This window comes from Homo sapiens, chromosome 2 (assembly GCF_000001405.40).
Source record: "Homo sapiens chromosome 2, GRCh38.p14 Primary Assembly".
NCBI lineage: Eukaryota > Metazoa > Chordata > Mammalia > Primates > Hominidae > Homo > Homo sapiens.
In genome coordinates this window covers 219,787,366-219,810,954 of record NC_000002.12, presented here as the reverse complement: position 1 = coordinate 219,810,954, position 23,589 = coordinate 219,787,366, and the positions used below count along the sequence as shown (strand labels likewise).

The 23,589-nt window shown below is 39.6% G+C and overlaps 1 long non-coding RNA gene across 1 annotated transcript; it reads right to left on the bottom strand.

Moving 5' to 3' along the window:
- Positions 1-16,412: 16,412 nt before the first annotated feature.
- Positions 16,413-19,361, bottom strand: LOC105373888 (uncharacterized). The gene is made up of 5 exons (XR_923924.3): positions 19,143-19,361; positions 18,493-18,578; positions 17,538-17,609; positions 16,785-16,884; positions 16,413-16,538 (listed from the first exon to the last, which is right to left on the bottom strand). It is a non-coding gene; the product is annotated as an uncharacterized LOC105373888 (long non-coding RNA).
- Between the last annotated feature and the right edge of the window lie 4,228 nt (positions 19,362-23,589).

Here is a 23,589-nt window from a genome sequence, read left to right as displayed (position 1 = left end):
AGCTGAAACAAAAGCATGCTAGTTAGTAGCATATGTTTATGAAATATATATAATATGTTTCATAAAAACATATAAAAGTATTAAATTAACTGGTAAAAGTAAATATTTAGTAAAATTTAGAATACTCAGATACTGTAATAGTGGTATGTAAATCATTTATGTCTCCAATATAAAAGTTAAAAGCAAAACTATTGAAAATTATTATAGTGACAATAATTTTCTATTTGACAGATTATGTAAAAAGAGTAAATTGTGACATAAAAAACATAAAATATGGAAAAGGGGAGTGAAAGTGTAGAGTTCTATCAATCAAAGTTGAGTTGTTATCGGCTTAAAATACAGTTATAACTATAAGGTATTATATGTCAGTCTCATGGTTACCACGAAGCTAAATCCAGTAGATACACAAAAGAGAAAAAAAAAGAAATCAAAACATACCAGTACAGGGAATCAAAGCATAACAGTGCAGAAAATCATCAAATCACAACAGAATACGATAAGAGAAGATGGAAGGAACAAAAGATCTATACAACTGCCAGAAAACAGTTTTTAATGGCAACAATAAGTTATTACCTATCAATAGTTACTTTTAAAGTAAATGAATTAAATTATCCAATCAAAAGACATAGAGTGGCTGAATTGTTAAATATATATATATAAAAAATACAATTATATGCTGCCTACAAAAGACTCACTTCAGCTTTAAGGACATACATACACTGAAAGTAAAGGAATGAAAAATGATACTTTATGCAAAGAAAACCAAAAGAGGGCAGAGGTAGCTATACTTACACAAACTTGACTAATTCAAAAACGAAAAAGAGACAAGGAAGGTCATTATATAATTATAAAGGAGTCAATTCATCAAGAGGACATAACAATTGGAAATATATATGCATTCAACATTGCAGCACCTAACTAGCTGAAGCAAATATTAATAGATAGGAAGGGAGAGATAAGCAGCAATACAATAATTGTAGGGAAGTACAGTATCCCATTTTCAACAATCAATGAATCATCTGGACAAAAAATCAATAAGGAAATACAGGATGTGAACAACACTATAGATAAAATGGATGGAACAGACATATACAAAGCGTTCCATCCAACAGCAGCAAAATGCACATTCTTCTAAAGTACACATGAATATTCTCCAGGATAGATTATTTGCTAGGCCACAAAACAAGTCCAAACATGTTTTAGATTTAAATTATATCAAGTATCTTTTCTGACCACAATTATATGAAACTAGAAATCATTAACAGGAGAAAACCTGGAAAATTCACCAATATGTGGAAATTAACATACTCCTGAACAACCAATGGGTCAAAGAAGAAATCAAAAGGGAAATTTAAAAGTATCCTGAGACAAATAAAAATGGAGACACAACATACTAAAACTTATGTGATCCAGCAAAACAGTTCTCCAGGCTTTTTTCCTAAAGAGGACTTGTAAAAAAATTAGATACTGGGTTTCACTATGTTGTGCAAGCTGTACTTGAACTCCTGGGCTCCAGCAACCCTCCTGTCTCAGTCTCCTGAGTAGCTGAGACTACAGACACATATCACCATGCCCCCAGCAAAAAAAGTTCTACAAAGGAAATTTATAGTGAAAATGCCTGCATTAAAAAGAGTAAAGATCTCAAACAACCTAATAATGTTATGCTCAATGAACTAAAAAAAAAAAAAGAACTAAGCCCAAAGTTAGTAGAAGGGAGAAAATAACAAAGATCACAGCAAAAATAAATAAAATAGAGAGTAAAAAACAACAGAAAAGATCAATGAAACTGAGAGTTTTTTAAAGATAAATAAAATTGACAAATCTTTAGCAAGACTAAGAAAAAATAGAGAAGACTCAAATAAAATCAGAAATGAAAGAGGTAGCATTGTAACTGATAGCACAGAAGTGCAAAGGATCATAAGAGACTACTATGAATGCTTATATATCTACAAATTGGATAACTTAGAAAAAAAGAGATCAGCTCCTAGAAATACACAAACTACCAAGACTGAATCATGGAGAAAGAGAAAATCTGAACAGAACAATAATGAGCAAGGAGACTGAATCAGTATTCAAAAATTTTCCATCAAAGAAAATCTCATTTTAATGTGTTATAACACTATAGGATGATGATAGTTAACAATAATACGTGTTTCAAATAGCTAGATAGAGGAGATTGAATGTTAGAGGATATTTAGCAAATAAATGAAAAATGTTTTAGATGATGGATATACTAATTACCCCCAATCTGATCACTATACATTATATGTATTGCAATATCACCATGTACCCCCAAATATGTACAATTATGTATCAATAATTTTTTTTTAATTTTTTTTGAGGCACAGTCTCGCTCTGTTGCCCAGGCTGGAGTGCAGTGGCGCTATCTCAGCTCACTGCAAGCTCTGCCTCCTGGGTTCACACCATTCTCCTGCCTCAGCCTCCCGAGTAGCTGGGACTACAGGCACCTGCCACCACACCTGGCTAATTTTTTGTATTTTTAGTAGAGACAGGGTTTCACCGTGTTAGCCAGGATGATCTCAATCTCCTGATCTCGTGATCTGCCTGCCTCGGCCTCCCAAAGTGGTGGGATTACAGGCGTAAGCCACTGTGCCTGGCCTTTTTTTAAAATTTTTAAGCAAAGAAAGAAAAGCCCAGGACCTGATGGCTTCACTGATTAATTCTACTAAACATTTAAAGAATTAATATCAACCTCTCTAACTCTGTCAAAAAACTGAAGAGCATGGAATACTTGCAGACTCATTTTGGAGACCAGATTACTCTAATACCAGATCCAGATATGGACACTAAAAATAATAATAAAATTACAGGTCAATATCCCTGAGGAAAATAGATGCAAAAGTTCTAAACAAAATACTAGCAAACTGAATTTAACAGCACACTAAAAGGATCATTCAAAATCACCAGGTGAGATGAAAGGATAATTCTATATATGCCAATCAAAATATGTGATATACTACATGAACAGAATGAAGAATGAAAATGATACAATCACCTCAATAGATACAGAAAAAGCACTTGACAAAATTCAAAATCCTTTCATGATAAGAATTCTCAACAAACTAGTTATAGAAGCAATGTACCTCAACACAATAAAGATCATATAAGACAAGCCCATAGCTAACGTTATATTCAATAATAAAAAGTTGGAAGCTTTTCCTCTAAGATCAGGAACATAACAAGAATGCACACTCTTGCCATTTCTACTCAGTGTAGTGCTAGAACTCCTAGCCAGAGCAATTAGGCAAGAAAAAGGAATAAAAGACCCAAATTGGAAAGGAAAAAGTAAAACTGTCTCTGTTTACATATGGCACGATCTTTTATATATATAAAACCCTAAAGACTCCACCAAAAAACAATTTAAATAAATGAATTCAGTAAACTTGCAAAGTATAAAACCAACGTACTAAAACCAGTTGCATTTCAATACATTAAAAACAAACAATCCAAAAAAGAAATTAAGGAAATAGTCTCACTTATAATAGCGTCAAAAAATTAAATTCCTGGGAAAAAAAATTTAAACAAGCACGTGACAGATCTGTACATGAAAACTATAAAGAAAAACATTGAGGAAAGAAATTGAAGAAGACACAAAGAAATGGAAAGGTATTCTATGTTTGTAGATTGGAAGAATCAATATTGTCAAAAAGTCCATACTACCCAAAGCAATCTACAGATCAAAATTTCTGCGGTGTTTTGCACAGAAACAGAAAACCAATCATGAAGTTCATTTGGAACTAACAAAAGACACTTAATAGCTAAAGCAATTTGAGGCATCATACTTCCTTATTTTAAATTATATTACAAATCTATAGTAATCAAAACAATATGATACTAACATAAACCAATGGGACAGAAATAAACCCATTCACACCCAGTGTTCTAATCTTTGACAAAGGTACCATGAATACACAACAGGGAAAGGATAGTCTCTTCAATAAATAGTGTTGGGAAACTGAATATTCACATGCCAAAAAAAGGGAAATTGGGTCCTTATACTATACACAAAAATCAACTTGAAATGAATTAAAGATTTAAACATAATACCTAAAACTACAAAACTTCTAGAAGAAAACAAAAGTGAAAAAAGCTTCATGATATTGGTCTTGGCAATGATATTTTTGGATATGACACCAAAAGTACAAACAACAAAAGCAAAAATAAACACAGGAGACTACATCAAACTACAATATTTCTGCACAGCAAAGGAAACCATCAACCAAATGAGAAGCACCTCATGAAATGGGAGAAAATACTTGCAGACTGTATATCCAATAAGGGCTTAATATCCAAAATACATAAGGAACTCACAACTCAAGAGCAAAAATAAGTAAATAAACAAACCAATTTTTAAAAGGGCAAAGGATCCAAATGGACATTTTTCAAAGAGGATATACAAACAGCCAACAAATATATGAAAAAATGTTCGACATCACCACTCATCAGGGAAATGCAAGTTAAAACTATATCACCTCACACCCATTAAAATAGCTATTATCAAAGAAGAGATATCTGCACTACCATCTTTATTGCAGCACTATTCATAATAGCCAAGATTTGGAAGCAACCTAACAGATGAATGAATAAAGAAAACATGGTACATATGCACAGTGGAGTACTATTCAGCCATAAAAAAGAATGTGATCCTATCATTTGCAACAACATGGATGAAACTGGAGGTCATTAGGCTAAGTGAAATAAGCCAGGCACCAAAAGACAAACATCGCATGATCTCACTTATTTGTAGGATCTAAAAATCAAAACAACTGATGTCACTCATGAAGACAGAAGATAGAAGGATGGTTACCAGAGGCTGAGAAGGGTAGTGGGAAGTGGGAAAGAGGTGGGTATGGTTAAAGGGTACAAAAAATATAGGAAGAATGAATAAGACCTAGTACTTGATAGCACAAGATGGTGACTATCGTCAGTAATAATTTAATTGTATATTTTTAAATAAAAGTGTAATTGGATTGTTTGTAACACAAAGGGGATACAAACTATACAACTTGGTAAATACTTGAGGGGATGGATACTCCATTTTTCATAATGTAACTATTATGCATGGCATGCCTGTATCAGAACATCTCATGTACCCCACAAACGTATATACCTACTACATATCCACAAAAATGAAAAATAAAAAAAAAAAATATAATAAAAAGAAGAGCTATTATCAAAAAGTCAAAAGATAACAAGTATTGGTGATGATATAGAGAAAAGAGAACCCCTGTGCACTGTTCGTGAGAATGTAAATTGGTGCAGCCACTATGGAAAACAGTAAGAATGTTCCTCAAAAAATTAAAAATAGTACTATCATATAATCCACCAATTTCACTTCTGGGTATGATATCCAAAGCAAATGAAATAGTATGTCGAGGGGATAACTGCACTCCCATATTTGCTGCAGCATTATAAGATATGGAAACAACCTAATTGTTCGTCAATGAATGGATGAATACAGAAATTGCTATATATATATATATATATATTCTGTATTCATCCATACATACATATACATATACATACATATGTGTATACATACATATGCACACATACATATACATGTATATATAATATATATATTATAAACAAAATACGATTCAGCCTTTCAAAAGAAGTAAATCTTGCCATTTGTGACAATATGTATAAACCTGGAGGACATTATGCTAAGTGAAATAAGCCAAACACAGAAAGACAAATATTGCATGATCTCACTTATATGTGGAATCTAAAAAAGTTGACCCATAGAGGCAGAGAATAGAATGGTTGTTACCAAGGGTTGCAGGGTAAGGGAAATGTTTGTCAAAGGGTAGAAAGTTGCAGTTATGAGCTGAGTAACTTCTGGATACCTAATGTACAGCATGGCGACTATAGTTAATAATACTGTATTAAATACTTGAAATTCCCTAAGGCAGTAGATCTTAAGTATATGAATATGTCAATTAGCTTCATTATGAATATCATTTCACAGTATATATGTATATCAAAACATTATATTGTACACCTTGAATATATATTTTTGTCAATTATATTTCAATAAAACTTTTCTTTAAAAAAAAAAGGTCATGTGTGGTGGCTCATGCTTGTAATTCCAGAACTTTGGGTGGCCGAGGCAGGCAGATCACCTGAGGTCGGGAGTTCGAGACCAGCCTGACCAATATGGAGAAACCCCGTCTCTACTAAAAATACAAAATTAGCTGGGCGTGGGGCACATGCCTGTACTCAGGAGGCTGAGGCAGGAGAATCACTTGAACCCACGAGGCAGATGGAGGTTGTGGTGAGCCGAGATTGCACCATTGCACTCCAGCCTGGGTAACAAGAGTGAAACTCCATCTCAAAAAAAAAAAAAAAGAATGGTCCCCTATAACCTTGAAGCCAACCCAAGGTTTTCCAAGGTTTTCACTCTTTCCTCCCCTGCCCTCCTCAAAGATACTATCTAAAGTCCCAACTTAACAGTGATATGAGAACTCAATGATATCATAATAACATTTGTGTATCACTTTACTTTTCCATATGTTTTATTAAACTAGGTGTATAATATATGAGTGATGATACTTACAATTTACGATATGGAAACTAGTTCAGAGGCTCAAAAAGATTACCTCAAAGTCACTGGGCTAGCAAAGGCAGGACTCACATTCTGGTCTTCTGGCTCCAAGTCTGTGCTCTTTGCACTAAAGGGTGCTTTGCTTTCATCACAGAAACCTCAAATAATGTGTACTTAAGTGAGTGAAATATTGTACCTATTTTAATAGATATTCAGTGTTACGGGCATATGCCAAAGGTAAAGTTTCTTGCTACCCCAGAATTTGACAAGTCAAAGCCAGGATCCTCAAATCTACATAATATAATATTTTCACATTTAAGACAGAAAAAGCTTTCATACATTTATTGAGACACAGATGCAGCACTGGTAGCATTTAAATTATAGTGCTGTGCTCCGATGTGCCCCGATCCCATCGTTGTTTTCGTTCATTTTAAAAATGAGCACGACATTCCTGAAGATTTCTTACACATCTTTTTACAACTAGTTACGAATTCAAATCAGGTGGCAATCCCAGGATCCAGCTGTTGCTTCTCAGCTCACAAAAATCTCCGCAAACCTCCCAGAGTGCTAAATTACTACCTCAGTCCTCTTCGTTTAACCTCAAACTGGGTCACCCTCTAATCAAGAAAAATTAATGACTAGCAACATATTTTTCTTTTCCTCTTAATTAGAGTAATTCCACCCTGGCAGTAACTCTCAGACTGAACTATGCTAATAACGAAGTTTTAATTCAGAAAAAAAGCAACAAGCAATCAAAAGTAACTAAGCCATCCCATTCCTGGTTGACTGCTAGTCATGAGTTCAGGCCAGTGTCCAGTTTACCATGAAGCTAATGAGGCTCCAGCTTCAGGGCCCCAAGAAATAAGTTCACATGATCATAGGTTTTTGTAAGTTTTTTAGCAGCAAGACATTTTAACCACAATTGGTTATGACTCACCTCTCTTTCCATTGTAACTTTTCCTCCAGCTTACTTCCCCTCAGACTGCAGAGTACTGGAGTGGCTGCTAGAATTTTGGGAATCTAGATAAGGATTCATTTTTAGTTTGAGTTTGGAGGGCTATATGTATGCAATCTGTAGTCACTTTCGTGTATAGGTAAGTTAGCGCTGGCTGTCCTGGTACAGAAATGGTTTTCATGAATACACCTGCTACTCACTGGGACCACTCACCCATGCGGCAAAACTGGGGGCAGAGGGCAGAAGTCACACTGCATTAGACTGCACATACTGGGCAAAGTGCTTAACCTCTTGGAGCCTCAGTTGTCCACCTTTAAAATGAGGATAATGTCAGCACCTATCTCAAAGGTTGTGAGTTATTAAAATAGATTATTATTATTACTATTACTATTATTAAGACTAACATGACTTACTGTGTATCAGGCACAGTGTTACTTGCTTAACATACACAATCTCAATTAATCCCAGGTTTAGAGAAATGAAGTAATTTACCAAAGGTGACACAGCTTATAAACTGGGGAGCCACGAGATAAATATGGGCATCCTTTAACCCACGATGCTACTTATTTGCGGGCTAAATCTAGACACTCAATGTCATCATTAAACTGGGTCAAGCCAAGGCCAAGTGCTCACTGGAGATTGATGGCAATCAAGGTCAGGCTGGGAGCCATGTAAGACACACAGAAAGTCTAGGGTGTAGTCCAAGGATCAGGACAGGTATCATAAGCTGCAGGGAAACATTAGCAAAAACAACTAGTGCCAAGCACATTGTTAGGCATGTTACCTATGTGTAATTGGTATCATTTTATACTTATTAAACCACCAAAAGAAGTTTGAAAATAAAATAATAACATCCAATGCTGGCAATATTTTGCCAGCCTGCTACATTCATTTATTCATGTCAGGTATATAAATTGCTACACTCTGCTGGAAAGCAATTTGACAATATATATATGGATCCATGAAGATATTCATACCCTTTGACACATTAATCCCGCTGTTGGAAATGTATCCTAAAGAAACCTTTGAAAGGAAGCAAAAAAATCTATTTATACAAAGACGCTCACTACAATGTTATTTGTGATACTGAAACTCTGAAAACCTCCACAGTGACCAAAAGGAGAATTGATAGGTAAGTGATGGCACATGACCTTGATGGATGATATGGGTTCACTGAAATGATTCATGGGGGTCTATGTGAGAACATGAACAAGCACATCCTATTATGTGAAAAAGAACTCAATGGCAATTACATTATTTTTGTCACTATGGATCTGTGTGGATAATAGCAGGAAATAAAACCAAACAACTGTCCTAGGGAGAGGTATTGTGGGAGATCTGCTTCTCCTTACACTTTATAATGTTCTTATTGTGACGATTAATGAATGTTGGGGTGCTATGGTTTGAATGTGTCCTCCAAAACTCATGTTGAAATGTAATGGCCATTGTGACAGTATTCAAAAATAGGACCTTTAAGAGGCGATTAGGTCATAAGAGCTCCACCTTCACAAATGGATTAATGCCATTTTTGAGGGAGTGGGTTAGTTATCTCAGGAGTGGGGTCCTGATAAAAAAGATGAGTTTTGCCTGATTTCCTCTCCTGATCTCATATGTTCACCAGGTGATGTCTTCCTCCAGGTTATGATGCAGCAAGAAAGCCCTTACAAGAAGCAGCCCCTCATTCTTGGACTTCCCAGCCTCCAGAACCTTAAGCTAAATAAGCTTCTATTGTTTATAAATTACCCAGTCTCATGTATTCAGTTATAACAGCAGAAAACTAAGATGTGGGGGAAAACAGAAAAATAACAAATAAAAGCCAGCTTGGGTGAGAGGAACAGTCCAGTGGATAAACGGCAGGACTGGCCCAGGACTAGAGACAATCCCAGCAAAGAGCTCAACTTGGTCCACCAGCCAGACCAGGACTCTGACCTTCTACCCTCCCAATCAGTAACACTTCTGGACAGAGCAGCACCCTCAGTTGCCCTGGGTTTGTTTCCTTCATTGTACTATTATACTTCAATGTGCTATTGCCTTTATCAGCCAAACTCACAGGGTTATTGAGAGGGTCCATTTAGATAATGTTGCACTTCACTTAAGAACATTTTCTGATAGTAATCCAAAGATATTTTTTGCAGAGTCAATGGTACAGCTTAGTCCTTCCATTCCAGATTTTGGGGTAGAACAGGTTTAATGACTGGCACCTAAGTCTCTACCTCTCAGTGTTCATATGTAATGATCTGGCCACTTCATATACTGTTGCAAGCCACAGGCTCAAATTAATTTACTTATTATGGGAGATGTCTTCTCTGCTCTTTCTTGTATACCTTTCCTGGCACACTGGCCACCCATCCTCTTCAGAATCCAACTCTGAACCACTCAGGAACACCATCACTGTGAGCTGAACCTCCAAACCAGAGCATCATCTCTTCTTGGTGTTGTTTCCTCTCTGGTCCACAAAGCTAGTGGTGGAATGAAGCGTTTGAGCAAAATGGCCTTCCCAAGTTGCTGCCTAGCAGACTCCAGTCATCTTCAAGGTTCAACTCAACCATCATCCTATAGCACTCTTTCTCAACCTTGACATTCATGACATTTGGGACCATGTAAGTTTTTCTTGTAGGAGGCTGCGCACGCATTTCAGGTTATTGAGCAGCATCCCTGGCCTCTAGATGCCAGTAACAAATTCGATTCCCCTAGTTGAAATAACCAAAAATGTCTCCAGACATTGCCAAATATCCTTTAAAAGCCAAAATCCCTCCCCTACCGGCCTCATCTCCACCACCCCAACCAGCAGAAGGATTTCCTCTTCTACCTTTTCATTCCTAGAGTATATATAACTAATATTTAAGTATCTCCCTTATAGCCCTTGTCATTTCATTCTATGATTAATTCTCTGCCTGTGTGTCACTGAAGGCAAACCTTAGTTTCCCCAAGGTAGATGCTGTATCTTGAACAGCATTACACACCCCATGCATAGCACAGGGCATGGCACAGAGGAGGTGCTCAGCACATCCTGTGAAGTTAAACCATGACTCCATGCATCTCAGGAACTTGCGGTGACAAACAAACATGATCCCAATCCAGGGCTGTAACACTTTCTTCTTTCCCAAACTGGGGTGGAAAGGAGAACTGGATGGTGTGTTTATTTACTGGAGAGGGAAAATACTACATTTTATACTAATAGAGATATTCAAGAAAGTCTGGGCTTGTGATGGCAATTATTTTCAATAAATTCTGACTTTGAGACCTTGCTAAACCATACCCACAGGGACTAAACTGCCTAATTCCAAGAGAAAAAAAAAACAAGAAGGAATAATCCCAAAGCCTCCAGGCATTGATTTATAGATGGTGAGACTCCCTAAATCTCATCTGACATTATTTACAATAAGATCTCCTGTGAGTCCCCAGTTGATAGACTGACAAGCAAAAACTTGCTTAACCCAGGACATGAGGGATTTGGGTGAGCCATGGGTGAAAGGCCACCGTAATCAGGACATGAGGCACAGAGCCCAGAACCAGATTCCAAGAAGATGGATGCCGAGTTGTGTCAAAAGCTCTTGAGAAGAAAAAGCATTATCCTCCAGCAAATTCTATGTAAATAACCTTGACATAGAGCAACTCTGAATGAAACTGACCTTCTAATAGATAAATAAGACTTTGAGGAATTTTCTTAATTTTAAATGAGCTTAGAGAGTTTGTAGGCAATATCTCTGTCCCACCATGGCTGGATTAATGGGTGTGCATGCACGCATGTGTGTGCACATGGGCCACACCCCTTTTTCTTGGTGGTGGGGTGGCTTGCCCCACCTTCATATATGGGACTCAAGGAAAAGGAATAGGTGGTTTTAGTGAGACCAGAGCCAGCAATGGGGTTAGAAAGCCCTGCTTCCTCAGGGTTCTCTACAGGCTTGAGGCCTACACCCCCTTCCACCAAGCTCTGGGATGGCAGAATGGCCCCAGGGGGAGCCCCTCCAGCCTCAGTGTCCTGCACAGACCTGTTGGCCCCAAAGCTTCTTGGCTCTTTTCTCCTACAGAATCACAGTCAGCCTACATTGAAAAAAAGCTGGCATTTGGGAACCTGGGCTATACTTGAAGAACTCCTGGGAGACTACCCCAAGTTCAACCTGCCTGTAAAGATGAGAGCAAGTGCCCTCGGCCACCAAAAAAAAGTCTTCCCCAACTCCACTGGGCCTGGAAATCTCTTCAGATGAGACACAGCCTTTCGTCCCCCTATGAGAGCCAAGACTCAGGTGGTCAATCCACCAAGGAGATGTCATAAACCTCCCTCAGACCATTCACTGTGAAGCGTAAACCACTCCTCACTGAGATTGTCTTCTGCTTCTTCCCACGCTGCCTTCTCTCAAAGACAGAACCTTCTTATCCTTCAGGCTGGAGGTTAAATGCCACCGGCTCAGAGAGGCCTGTGAATCTTGATCACAGCTACTTGTGCATGTCCTTCATACCCCTCTGTGCTGGGCCACACTCTGGGTGTAAGTATCTACTCTCCCCTCAACTCTAAACTCCTTGAGGAAAGAGATTACATTCATCTTGCTCACCCATCCTTCACCTATGCCCAGCATGGTGCCTGGGGCATAATAGGTTCTTCATGAATGTTGTTAATTTCATGAAAAAACAATAAAGATTCTTCTCCAGAGAAGATGCTGACAACTGGGTAGGAGAAGATAGGACTGTGTGGTATGCCAATGCCAGGCCTATGGGGCACAGTCCTCCCAGTTTCGTGCCAACATGAGTAAATAATTGGGTGTGCTAACAGACCAAACATCATTATGTAATCACAATGCTACCTGGCATATGTGCCTTCTATTAATACTTACAGCATAACCTATGACTAATGCAAGAATATGGCACTCTTCACATAGCATGGGTACCCAGAGTCATAATAATAAATCCCGGGTAACATAGTTTGCTAAAGAAAGTTTTTGCAAGGCTAGAATTTCATAGAAATGTTGATGAGAGCCCAGGAATCTGGGAAAGCCCAGCTTCAGAGCTTCTGCCAGCTTGTGGCATCTCCACGTGGATAGGCTGGTAACCCTCATCACCATCTGATTACCTCTCTTATGGTGGAACCCAACCTGATGTCAGCCCGTCTCTTTTGCTTTATCCTTTAAGCTCAAGGCTGTAAAGTATAATTTGCACAAAGGATATCTAAGTGTCTTTTTTTTTTTTTTTTTTTTTTTTGAGACAGAGTCTCACTCTGTCACCCAGGCTAGAATGTAATGGCACAATCTTGGCTCACTGCAACCTCCACCTCCCAGGTTCAAGCAATTCTCCTGCCTCAGCCTCCCAATTAGCTGGGACAACAGGCGTGCACCATCATGGCTGGCTAATTTTTGTATTTTTAGTAGAGAAGGAGTTTTACCACGTTGGACAGGCTGGTTTCAAACTTCTGACCTCAAGTGATGCGCCCGCTTCTGCCTCCCAAAGTGCTGGGAATACAGGTGTGAGCCACCGTGCCTGGTCTAAGTGTCCATTCTTAAAGCCAGACCTCCGTGAGACTGACCCAGTGGGATGGGAAGAAGGGAAGAAAACATGAAAGATTAAAGGAAAAAAAGGCATCAATTGATTATTAAAAGGGTTAGAAAACAAACTCATTAAATCAGCTTGTTACCTGTACCCCCAGCTGCCCTGGGGAGCTAAAGAACTCAAAAAAAAAAAGGAACTTTGTGTTTACATCCTACTTCCCTGCTTCATTCCCACATGCATGGATTAATATGCAGGAGGACTGGTCTTCTGAAACATGTGTAAAACCACAGTGCAACCTGGAAATTGAAGAATGGGGCTCAATGAATCTATTTGAGACAAGCTCTGAATCAGACTCATGTCTCTAAGCCCAAATACTGGATCTGCAGTGACCAGTGGACACCCCAACAGAGGACATGTTAAATCATCCAGCTATCAACAAGCTACCTAATTTAGCAGCCAGTTAGAACATGGTAATAACCATGCCTCCGATGTGAGAACTATTCCAAATAAATCTATGGGCCCACAGAATATTAAGATTCAACAGGTTTCATTAATTTCCTGAAGCGTGCTTGTTTGTAAAAAGCTGGATGGAAATTCTGTTTGGGTAATAATCTCTTTGAATCCTTAAATCCCACTTTTAGTTATCAGTCTCCAACAAATGAAGGAAGAAAGTGAAATTACTCAACTTCAAACCCCAAATATTTTGGCAACTTTGAGCCAACTAAAGGCTTCAGATGGGATTCTCTTTTGTCTTTCTCCAAATCTCCAAATTCCATGGAAGGTTTCTGGTTGATAAATTAATATGGCACCAACTCCATGTAGCACAACCCAGCAGTATCTTGGCCAAGAATTTTTAAAAACAATAACGTCAGACTCTATTAAAGAATCTAGGAATTATTTTTCTTTACTTACTTTTTCTCTTTAACATGGCATTGCTATACAACATTCCTCAGATGGCTTTAACCAACTGCAAATAACTGAAAAGCATTTTAAATCTTATTTAAAGAGCTGCTGTTCTTATTGAAAATGCAAGCAAGTGACCTCTGAATTTAACCCATTACATCTGAGCCTTCCCAGCCCCAAGTATTTGTGAAATGCCACAAAAAATATAAACAAGAAAACGTCTAGGCAAAAACATGGGGAAACCAGTGAGGAAACTTTGGGGAGCTTTGTTGAAAATGTATATTCTCTCTATCCAGACCTCAACACAAAACACTATTGGCAAAGTAAAGTAACATTTTATTATGACCTGAGATTTTCACGCTAAACTCCTCATGTTGAGTGCATCATTTTCCCAAATTAATTAGTCCTAAGTAAGCCTTCAATCAAAGCAGCATAAAGCGGATTCTCTCTATCCCCCTAAAATCCTAAATCAAGGCTCAGATTTTAACTTATTGATGCAAAGGTTTGCAAAAAGGCAACTTTAAGCACCTATTCTGCATAACAAACCCCCCAAAACTTAGTGGCTTAAAACAACCAGTAAGATCTTTTGCTCATGATCTTGTGGATCATGAATTGGGGAAAGGATCAGCTCAAGACTTTTCATCAGTTGCAGTCAGATGGTAGCTGGGGCTGCAGTCATCAGAAGGCCCAACTGGGCTGGATATCTAAGATGGTGTACTCCCATGGCTGGCAGTTGGTGCTGGCTGTTGGCTGGGAGCTCAGCTGGGGCCATTGCCTGCAGCAAGCACCTACACATGGCCCCTCTATGTGGTTTGGATTTCTCACAGCATGGTAGCTGGGTTCTGAAATGAAGCTTCCCAAGAGTAAGTGTTTCACGAAACAAAAGCAGAAGATATACAGCCTCTTCTTACCTAACCTCAGAAGTCATGTTTGCCACTTTCACTGCAATCTGATGGCTACAAATGGGTCGCTGAAGCCACTGAGATTCAAGGGGAGAGGAATGTGTCCATGTCTCAATTTGAGAAGCATCAAAGAGTTTGTGGCAAGCTTTTAAATCTGCTACAGTGCTATCAGAAGTGATTGCACCAATGCTGAGGACAGAGCTGGCCTGGGTTGCATCTTTCTTAGTCAATGCCACCCTTCCTCCTGTGTACTATCTAAAAATCTCCTGGCCATGTCTGGGAACCAGGCAACAGTTCCTTTCTTCTACAATTCAATCGCATATATCCCTGATCCCCTCCCTGGACCCAGCTCAAGGAGGAATGTACCAGGTAGCACCACAGTGTACAGTTGTAAAGGTTGTACACTGCACAAAGGCAACCAGCCAAGTTGTGTGCCCTTGTCTAGTCATGCACCTGGCTCAGAGCAACATCCATGCAGAGAGGTTGTTTTGCCTAATTTGTACCAAGGTACTACAAAGGCTAGCAATCCAGGGTGCTCAGCTCTCTCTCAGAGATTTCCACCATCCATTGCCATCTACTTTCTAGTTTCTCATGTTCCTATGAAACTTATTGCTGTGTGAATGATAAGAGGGAGGGCAGGGAGCATGTAGTCACTGCATTGCAGTAGATAGTGATGCCACTAGAATGCACAAATTTCTGAGGAGTACAGATGGGAAGATGCCTCTGACTGAGGAGGTATAAAAAAGGGGGCATTCTTGCAAAGTTGACCTACAAACAGGCAAAGAAAAGATGCACAGTCTTTGAGTTAGAGAAGAGGGGGATGGGGGAGTCATTCCAAGCAAACAGACTAAAAGTATAAAAGGATAAAAGGGAAGATATAAGTAGATAATAGTACAGCAATGCCTTTGACTGAAGCACAGATAGGCACAGAAAAGAGGGGGATATTAGTCAAGAGATAAATTAGATGGGCCCCAAGCTTCTATGGACAAGGGCTCTCCTCCTATAATAGCACCTGCCAGTGCCTCACCCAGATCCCCTCAGATGTCATGTAGGTTCTGTGTGCTCCTCCCCAGCTCCCATGTGCTTTGGTTGGCTGCCCCTGCAGGTGACAGCCCATGGGTTTCTAGTGCTATTTTGATCACAACATTTGGAGACCCAGAAGTACCTGGGAGCTTACAGGGGGTTACTCATAGCCAACACCAGATTAGTGAAGGAATATGAAAGCCCAGAACCTTCACCTTAGTTGGTACAAACTCTGTGGGGTGATTTATGCTGCAGATCACTTCACAGATGAGGCTGAGGCTAGAAACATCACCTGAAATCTCACCCTGCTTAGCTTCCTGCTTGTTCTCCCTTGTCCTGCTTCCCACTCCCTTTGTTATCTCCCCTGAGAGCCCACCCTTCATTATCACTACACACAAACCCTCATCTCAGGACTAGGAGCAGGACCTGAGCTGTGAGGAATGTGCCCATGTTCATTTCTGGTTTGACTTTAGCCTAATAAGGCCTAAGTAACCTCAAACCATAATTAGCATAAGACTGACTCTACTATCCCTCCATCTTAGCCCATTGGGGCTGCTACAATAAAATAGCTGAGACTGGGTAATTCATAAATAACAGAAATTTATTTCTTATAGTTCTGGAGGCTGGAAAGTTCAATATCAAGGCACTTGCGGATTCAGTGTTTGGTGAGGAACCTCAGTGAAAATTGGTGCTTCGTTGCTGTGTCCTTGTGTGGCAGAAGGGGGAAGACAGCTCCCTTCAACATCTTTATAAGGGCACTAATCCCACTTATGAGAACAGAACCCTCATGACATAATCACTTCCCAAAAGGCCCCACCTCTTAATTCTATCACATTGGGTATTAGGTTCCAAAACGTGAATTTTGGAAGGACACCAACATTCAGACCATGGCACCCTCCTACCTCCACCCTGCCCCACCACCCCCTCCCAAAAAAAAGAAAAAAAGATTTACCTCAGCAGAAACATTTGCTCCTATACCATTATGGCACATTGAAAGAACTAGAATAGCTTTTCAAGGTTGGCATCCTCTTCATTCCAGGGTTCCATAGAACCTTAAAAGTCACAGAGAAAAGAAGACACCAGTTACCATGCTTTGCCTTAAGCAAGTGTAATAGTCAAAAACGTTTAACAATAGCCTGGCATAGGCACTAAAATTAGAATAGACAACAGCTATAAACAATCAGTATCTTATGGTTCTCTAATTGTTCTTGATCAAAGATGTCCATTTATAACCTGAAGTTTCCCAGAGCTCAAAGACAACATCTTAAACTTCCTTATCACTTCCCAAGTGCCAAGTTAAAATAATATCCCAGGTCTGTCATTTACTATCTGGGTGCCCTCGGGTAAGTTACTTAAGCTTCTAAGCCTTTGTTGCTTCTCGTGTAAAGTAAAAAAATAATAGCACCCTTCGTAGGGTTGTTAGGAGGAAAAAAATGAGATAATGCATATAAACATTATAGGGGTAAGCTAAAGGGATACAAAAATGAACCCTAAAGGTAGAACACCTCAAACAAAATATTTCCTGTTTGCATGATAGGCCCAGGAATGTGAACCTGGTTGACGTTGTCCTTACTCTACATGGTGATTCAAGGGCCCATTCCCACTCCATCTTGTGTCTCTAGGGCCTTTCTTCAATCAGCAAAAAAAAAAAAGAGAGAGTGGGGAAAAATCAGAGGATACACATCCATTCTTTTGAAGGCCTCACCTGGAAGTGGCATACATCACTTTCCCTCACATTGTCATGGAGAGGACACGCCATACCTCACTGCAAGAGAGTCTGAGAAATGTATAATAGTTTAGCCTTGTGTCTGGTTACAATCACATTACTCTAGGGGAAGCAGGGACTAGATTCTCATAGAGAGCTTCCATTATCTGCCCTAGTACTCAATAAACACAAACTATTGTGGCTATTTTTTCTTGTTAGATAGCCAGTGGGTACTTGCTGGATGCTTGAAGGATTCAGTGGAAATAAGAAAGAATAAAGAAAGAAAATGGATGTTGCAGGGCAGAAACAACAAGAAACGAGAATGAGTGACAATGGAGAGCGCTGTGTAAAGGGAGGTACACACAGTGCCAGAGTTAGAGGGGGCAACCCATGTCCGCCGTGAGGAAACACTACAGCCAGACCCTTCCTGGGACTTCTCATCAGCATCTCACACAAGCTGAGTCCACTGAGAGTCACCGCACCAGACGGTCTGAGAGTCCCCTTGTGATTGCCACGCTCAGAAAATCCTCTCTTGCCTTAAACAACGTAAAGGTTGTTTTAAGTATTCTATCTGAACTAATTTGAATTCTCAGCTTTAAGTGGGTTAAGGGCCAGAAGAAAAAGCCTGCCACTCTAACAGCATCTGAGGAGTGTACTAAATTCTCGTTGATGGTAATTAGCATCCCGCTTCTTTACTCTGCCCATACAGTATTTCCAAATCAATTGCTCAGCGTTAGTGATTCTGCTGGGATTGATTTAATAGTCTAATATGAAGTCTCAGCCCTTCTGTATAGGTTAATTACATGTGGTCTTATACATTCTAATTTAAAATACTGCCTTTGCAATTATCATCAGCATTAAAACAGAGCGCTAGTAATGATGATGGGCTTGAATTTTTTTTCCAGAAGTAATGAATTGAAAAACCAAAATGACTTTTAATTTTTTTGGTACTTACCATCTCAATCTCTCTTCTCTTCTATGGAAAATATAAATCAGGGTCTCCTCCGTATTTCAGACTTTTATGAAAACAGGCAAGATGGCCTTAAAGAAAACAGAAGCCTTTGATTTTGGAACAGCCAAGACTTGACTATCTGGTCAAGGGCTACCTGGGAAGGGCTGCCTTCCCCTACCCTAATCTCCCAGTTATGGATGTATTTACATGTAATTATATGATGTTTCCTATGAGGCAAAAATTGCCCCAGAGCTTTAAAAACAGCAACAATTGGCCAAGCACAGCAGCTCACGCCTGTAATCCCAGCACTTTGGGAGGCTGAGATGGGCAGATCACGAGGTCAAGAGATTAAGACCATCCTGGCCACCATGGTGAAATCCCGTCTGTACTAAAAATACAAAAATTAGCTGGGTGTGGTGGTAGGTGCCTGTAATGCCAGCTACTCGGGAGGCTGAGGCAGGAGAATCACTTGAACCCGGGAGGTGGAGGTTGCAGTGAGCCAAGATCACGCCACTGCACTCCAGCCTGGCAACAGAGTGAGACTCCGTTTCAACAAAAAAAAAAAGCAACAACCACACAGGTACTATATGAGTTTTCTAGGCTGTGTAACAAATTACCCTGACATATAGTCACTTAGAACAGCAAAGATTTACCAGTTCACAGTTTCTGTGGGTCAGGAATTTGGGAAAGGCTTAGTTGGTGATTCTGGCATAGGTTCTCTCATGAGGAGACAGTCAAACTACTGGCCAGGGCTGCAGTCCTAAGGTGCTAGAGGATCCACTTCCAAGCTCACTTAGGTGGCTGTTAGCGGGGCCCCAGTTTCTCACCATAGGGACCTCTCTCTAGGCTGCCTCGCCACACATGACATCTGGCTTCCCTTAAAGCAAGTGATCAGAAAGAGAGAGAGAGGGAAAAAAAAGATAAAGGACAGAAAGACAAAGAAGAAAGAAAGAGAACAAAATTGAAGATGCAATATCTTTTATAACCTAATATCAGAAGTGGCACACCACCACTTCTGCTGTGTTCTACGGGTCACACAAAAATACCTGGTACTACATAGCAGGGAACAACACGTGGGTGTGAATACCAGTAGGTGGACTGTGGCAAGCCAGGCTGGCTATGAATTGGTGTTATTATTGTTCCTGATTTACAGATGAGGCACAGACAGGTGAAGTCACTTGCCCAAAGTCGCTGTTAATAAATGGCAGAGCCAAGATCTGAATCTCGTTGGTCATTTTGGCTTCAAAAACCAAGCTCTTAACAACTACTCACACACAGAGAAAGGTGTCCATTCATGTAATTTAACACGTGGTTCAAAAGCAGTGTATAAGCCAGCCAATAGTGTTCATTCTAAATGAATAGCTGATGGGAAACTTGCTGAGGATAAAATCTCTAAACTACTCAGCATCATCACAAAATACTCCTCAGCGTCTCCTAGCCTCTGTTGTTTGAGGCAAAATAATTCCATTTCCTAGGAATTCCTTACTTTCTTGGCAAATTAATCTAACAGCCTTCATTATCACTATCACTAGATTCTTTCTAAATATTGCATCTCGTACCACACCAATAATCACGTCTTCCTGCTCAAACCGCTAAGGAGATGACCGCTGTAATCACAGTCAGCTCTATGCAATGATACTGCTGTGTTAAAATCCCACCATTTATCACCCTCAGCCTTCACACCCAACGGCCACATGACCTAGTCTCTTCAGGTGTCCCTGTTATCAGTTCCAGCTTCAGATGCACATCTGTACCTGTCTGACATTGCGGATAAGACTGGATCACAGACCTGGGTCCGAGGAGGATTGAGTATCATGGGATCTTCCACTGGATCATGAAAGAGATTTTGCTAGCCAGTATTCTAAGCACTTCACACACATTATTTCACTTAATTCTCCTATATCCTAGAAATATAATAATGGTAATAATAGTAATAACTCATAACTATAGAGATTGCAAGCTTGCCATATGCCAGGCCCTATGCTAAGTGCTTTATAGACTTTAATTCATTTTATCTTCACACAAACCTGAGAGATAAACTCTATTTTTGTTCCCTTATGATAAATAAGCTCAGAAATGTTAAATGACTGGCCCAAAGTTACACAGAGCTGGGATTCAAACCTGTGTATGTCTTATCATAAATGCCATCTTTCCACCTTGACAAGGAACAGGCAGAACAGCTGGGTGCTGCTCCCAACCCGCCTTCGCCCTGTCCTTTCAGAATCAAATGGCCAATCCAAAGATTTTTCTTTTTTTTTTTTTTTAAATGGAGTCTCACTCTGTCACCCAGACTGGAGTGCAGTGGTGCAATCTCAGCTCACTGCAACCTCCGTCTTCTGGGTTCAAGTGATTCTCATACCTCAGCCTCCCAAGTAGTTGGGAATATAGGCATTTGCCACCACGCCCGGCTAATTTTTGTATTTTCAGTAGAGACGGGTTTCACCATGTTGGCCAGGCTGGTCTCAAACTCCTGACCTCAAGTGATCCACCCGCCTCGGCCTCCCAAAGTGCTGAGATTACAGGTGTGAGCCACCATGCCCAGCCAGATTTTTCTAAACGAAAATAATTTCCTCCCTTCAAGAGATTCTGGAGCCAGGAGTTGAGATGCCTTTTTTGTTAACACTTCTCCACTAGCAAATAAAACAATATATTATCAGGGATTAGCAAGCCTTCTTAAAGGGCCAGATAGGAAACATTTTCAGCTTCATTTCTGGGCCATATGGCCTTGATCACAACTCCTCAATCTGCCACTGTAGCAAAAGGAGCCATGAACAATACATAAATTAATGAGCATGGCTGTGTTCCAATAAAATTTTATTTGTGGACACAGAAAGCTGCATTTCATATAATTTTCTCATGTCACAAAATATTCTTTCTTTGACTTTTTTTCAACCATTTAAACATTTTAAATCTTTTCTTAGACCACAGGCCATACAAAAACAGATGGCCATAGTTTGCTGATGCCCACAATGTACAGCAGAAGAAGTCAGAAATTCTCCCAATGAGTCAAGCGATTTGATTTTATCAAATCAACAAAAATCCAATTATTGAGCAACATATTGTCAAGAAGGGCTGTTCTGAACATAAATGTGTTATGTCAAAATGTAACACAAGAGACAAAATCAAGTGGATGAAGTAATCTCTCATGTTTTATACCCTTCTTAGAAGACTGGCTGGGAAAAGTTGATGAGGAATGTGATGTTCACTCCACCAAAATATGCCTTAATGACAGAGACTTAGATTTCCTCCTCATGTCTCCTGTTAGACTATAATAGGGCTGGGCCTACACATCCCTGTATCCCCATGCCCTCCCTCATGAGATCTCTCAATAAATGTTAAATTATTAAGAAAAAAAGAAGAAGAGAGAGTGGGGAGGGAAGGAGGAAGGAAGGAAAAGAGGAAGGGAAGAAGGAAAAGGGAGAAAGAGAGAAAAAGAGGGAAGGAAAGAAAATAATATAAACTATTTCCTATCATGTTCTGTATTAGTCCATTTTCATGCTGCTGATAAAGACATACTCAAGACTGGGTAATTTATAAAGGAAAACAGGTTGAATGGACTTGCTGTTCCATGTGGCTAGGGAGTCCTCACAATCATGGCAGAAGGTGAAAGGCACATCTTACATGGCTGCAGACGAAAGAGAATGAAAACCAAGGGAAAGAGGTTTCCCCTTATGAAATCATCAGATCTAGTGAGACTTATTCACTACCACAAGAAGAGTATGGAGGATACCGCCCCATGATTCAATTATCTCCCACTGGGTCCCTCCCACAACATGTGGGAATTATGGGAGCTACAGTTCAAGATGAGATTTGGGTGGGGACACAGCCAAACCACATCAGGTTCTTTCCTAATATATTTCAATAATTCATTTAAAAGGGAGCTGCTATCTAATAAAGTAAAAGTCAATGACTCACTTCTCATTATTTTTAAGCAATATACAATTTTTCAGAGATACCATGTTCACATTCTGCTTGACTACAAAATAAGGAAAATTATTTCTATTTATGCCTATGTCTAGGCATATAACTTGTAGGATTTTAAGAATATCAAAATTGTGTTCAATCTTTTCAGTCAATGTGTTAAACTGTCCCCTGGAACATAGAATATGAAAACCAGGCTTTCCACAACACACAGTACAAGTTCCTGGGACAATGGGACCAACCCCACTAGACACTAGGTTTTTGGAGGGCAGAGACTGTCTTATTCACTTTAGTACTCTGGGGATCTGGCACTGCAAGGCATTCAGTGTTTGTTGAATGAATGAAAAGTAAACGAGGGAAATGTTTCACCTTAAGAAAATTAAAACCTATTTTCTAAAAAGGCAATACCACTTGAACAAGGTGGGTGTTCCTGGGAGATAAGAGACACTCAGGAGAATTGTATAGCACAAAACAAAGGTGTTACCAAATGTCAGGGATAGCAAAACCAGAGGGTATTCCTATGCTTAGCACAAATACTCCCCTTTAGAGATGACTTGAAAATAATCCAACTAAATTTACCTCTTTGTTAAATGAGAAAATAAAATCCTAAATTGCCCTAGGCTCAAATGGAGCTGAGTTAGAATCAACATTTTTCAATATAAGGGGAAAAGCAAAGGAGTCAAAAGACCAGTGTCATAGCAAAGGTGGAGCTATTGTTAAAGTCATGTTTTTATTCAGCAAATAAAATTAATCCAGGCTACTAACATTAAAAATAAGAATAACCACTTTTTCTGAGTATGTGTTTAGGTTTTTCCTTTAGCCAATATTCAACTTATTTTAGCCATAATGATCTGATGCTTTTCTAACCTCTTAACCATGTCTGGGGCTTAGTCAATCATTACCAAATAAACACAGGTCAGAGATGAAAGAGCCAGTAGGTTCTCTGTCTAGAAATCAGTGCAGTTTCTCAACCAAAGCACCTGCAGGGCAGAGAAGGTAACTTTTGTATCAGGGAAGAGACATACCCTTCACACCATTGTTTATCTGCACACCAGAATGATTCTTCACCTAGCTCAAGTCAGTCAAACCACCTTGGCAGGTGGGTGATCCTGCAGATGAGGCCATAGGGATCTGCCACATAGGGCTTGCGCTCCAGTCTCCACAATGGCCTGGCTTTGG